Source organism: Homo sapiens, chromosome 2 (assembly GCF_000001405.40).
Source record: "Homo sapiens chromosome 2, GRCh38.p14 Primary Assembly".
NCBI classification, from domain to species: Eukaryota; Metazoa; Chordata; class Mammalia; order Primates; family Hominidae; genus Homo; species Homo sapiens.
Window position 1 is genome coordinate 19,312,603 of NC_000002.12, and position 1,245 is coordinate 19,313,847.

The window sequence follows — 1,245 nt, forward strand, 5'->3', positions numbered from 1 at the left end:
TTCAAAAGTAGATGAACTCTTTTTACAAATAAAAGCATATATGAAACCCTAACACCTAGATTTTTAAAATCCATTTTTATTAATAAATTAGGTATATTTACCAATTATAAAGACAATTGATAAGAATGATTAACTTTATTAACATAAAAATGTGTAATCAAAGATGACAGCCACAGCTTTATGTCACCCTCAGCATCCCACTTATTTTAGTATTTTGTTTGGATTCTATAGTTTCAAAGGCTTTGTAAAAATCCTGGTCACATAAACAAGGTTTTGTAAATGATAATGGTTCTTTTCAACTAATTGCTTTGCAATGAGAATAACTTAGACAGCAATGGTAGGAAAGGCTTTATTTTGAAATCTACAAAAAAATGAACAAATATATTGAAGAACAAATCAAATTTACACAACCACTAAAAGAGAGATGCCTTTGGTTTAAAAATCCCCAACTAAGAACATCTGATATTTGCCACTTGAGTCACAGACTGGCATAGGCTGGAAGCACTGGCCAGTTGGCCTGTCATAAGTTTCTTTCTATACAGAGAAGACAACAGCCAAAGAGGCCCCTGGTGGGGAACTGGTGAACAACCCAACAGTTAAGAAGAAAGAAAATCCCCAACCCATACCATCAAGTAGCTTAAGAGTAATAGAAAGAAGCAAAACAATTTAGAGTCTGATGAGCTCAAGACAAAACCTCAGATGTGTCATTTACTAGCTGTGTGACCTTGGGCAAGTTATTTAATATGTCTGAGCCTTAGCGTTCTCATCTCTAAAATAAAGATGCTAATTTTCTTTCACTAGATTGTTTCATATATTAAATGGGATGCAGTGTGGGTAGGCCTGACCATTTAGGCATTCTGCAAGTAGGACCACGGATGGAACAGCACTGACCAGAGGGAGGGGGACACAGAAGCCCAGTGATTATCTCTGGGGAGCCTGATCCAGATTTGGAAGCGTCTCCAAGAATAGGTCTTCATCACATGGGGAGGTAGAGGGAGGAAACAGCAGGATTTACTTGTTTTTACCTGCCTCCGTGGGGATTGATACAGGGGACAAAATAGAGTTCAAATAAAGAATCAGAGGAGGTGGAGGTGAAGGTCACAAAGACCAGGAAGAGCTATCAACACACCCTGGAAGCCCGAGGAGGACCTTTGTACCCTAGTGATCACTCTGGGGATTCCTCTGAGTGCAGATTGCTGCAGAAATACCCTACAGTACCTTCCTCCCAAAAGTACGCATTGAGGT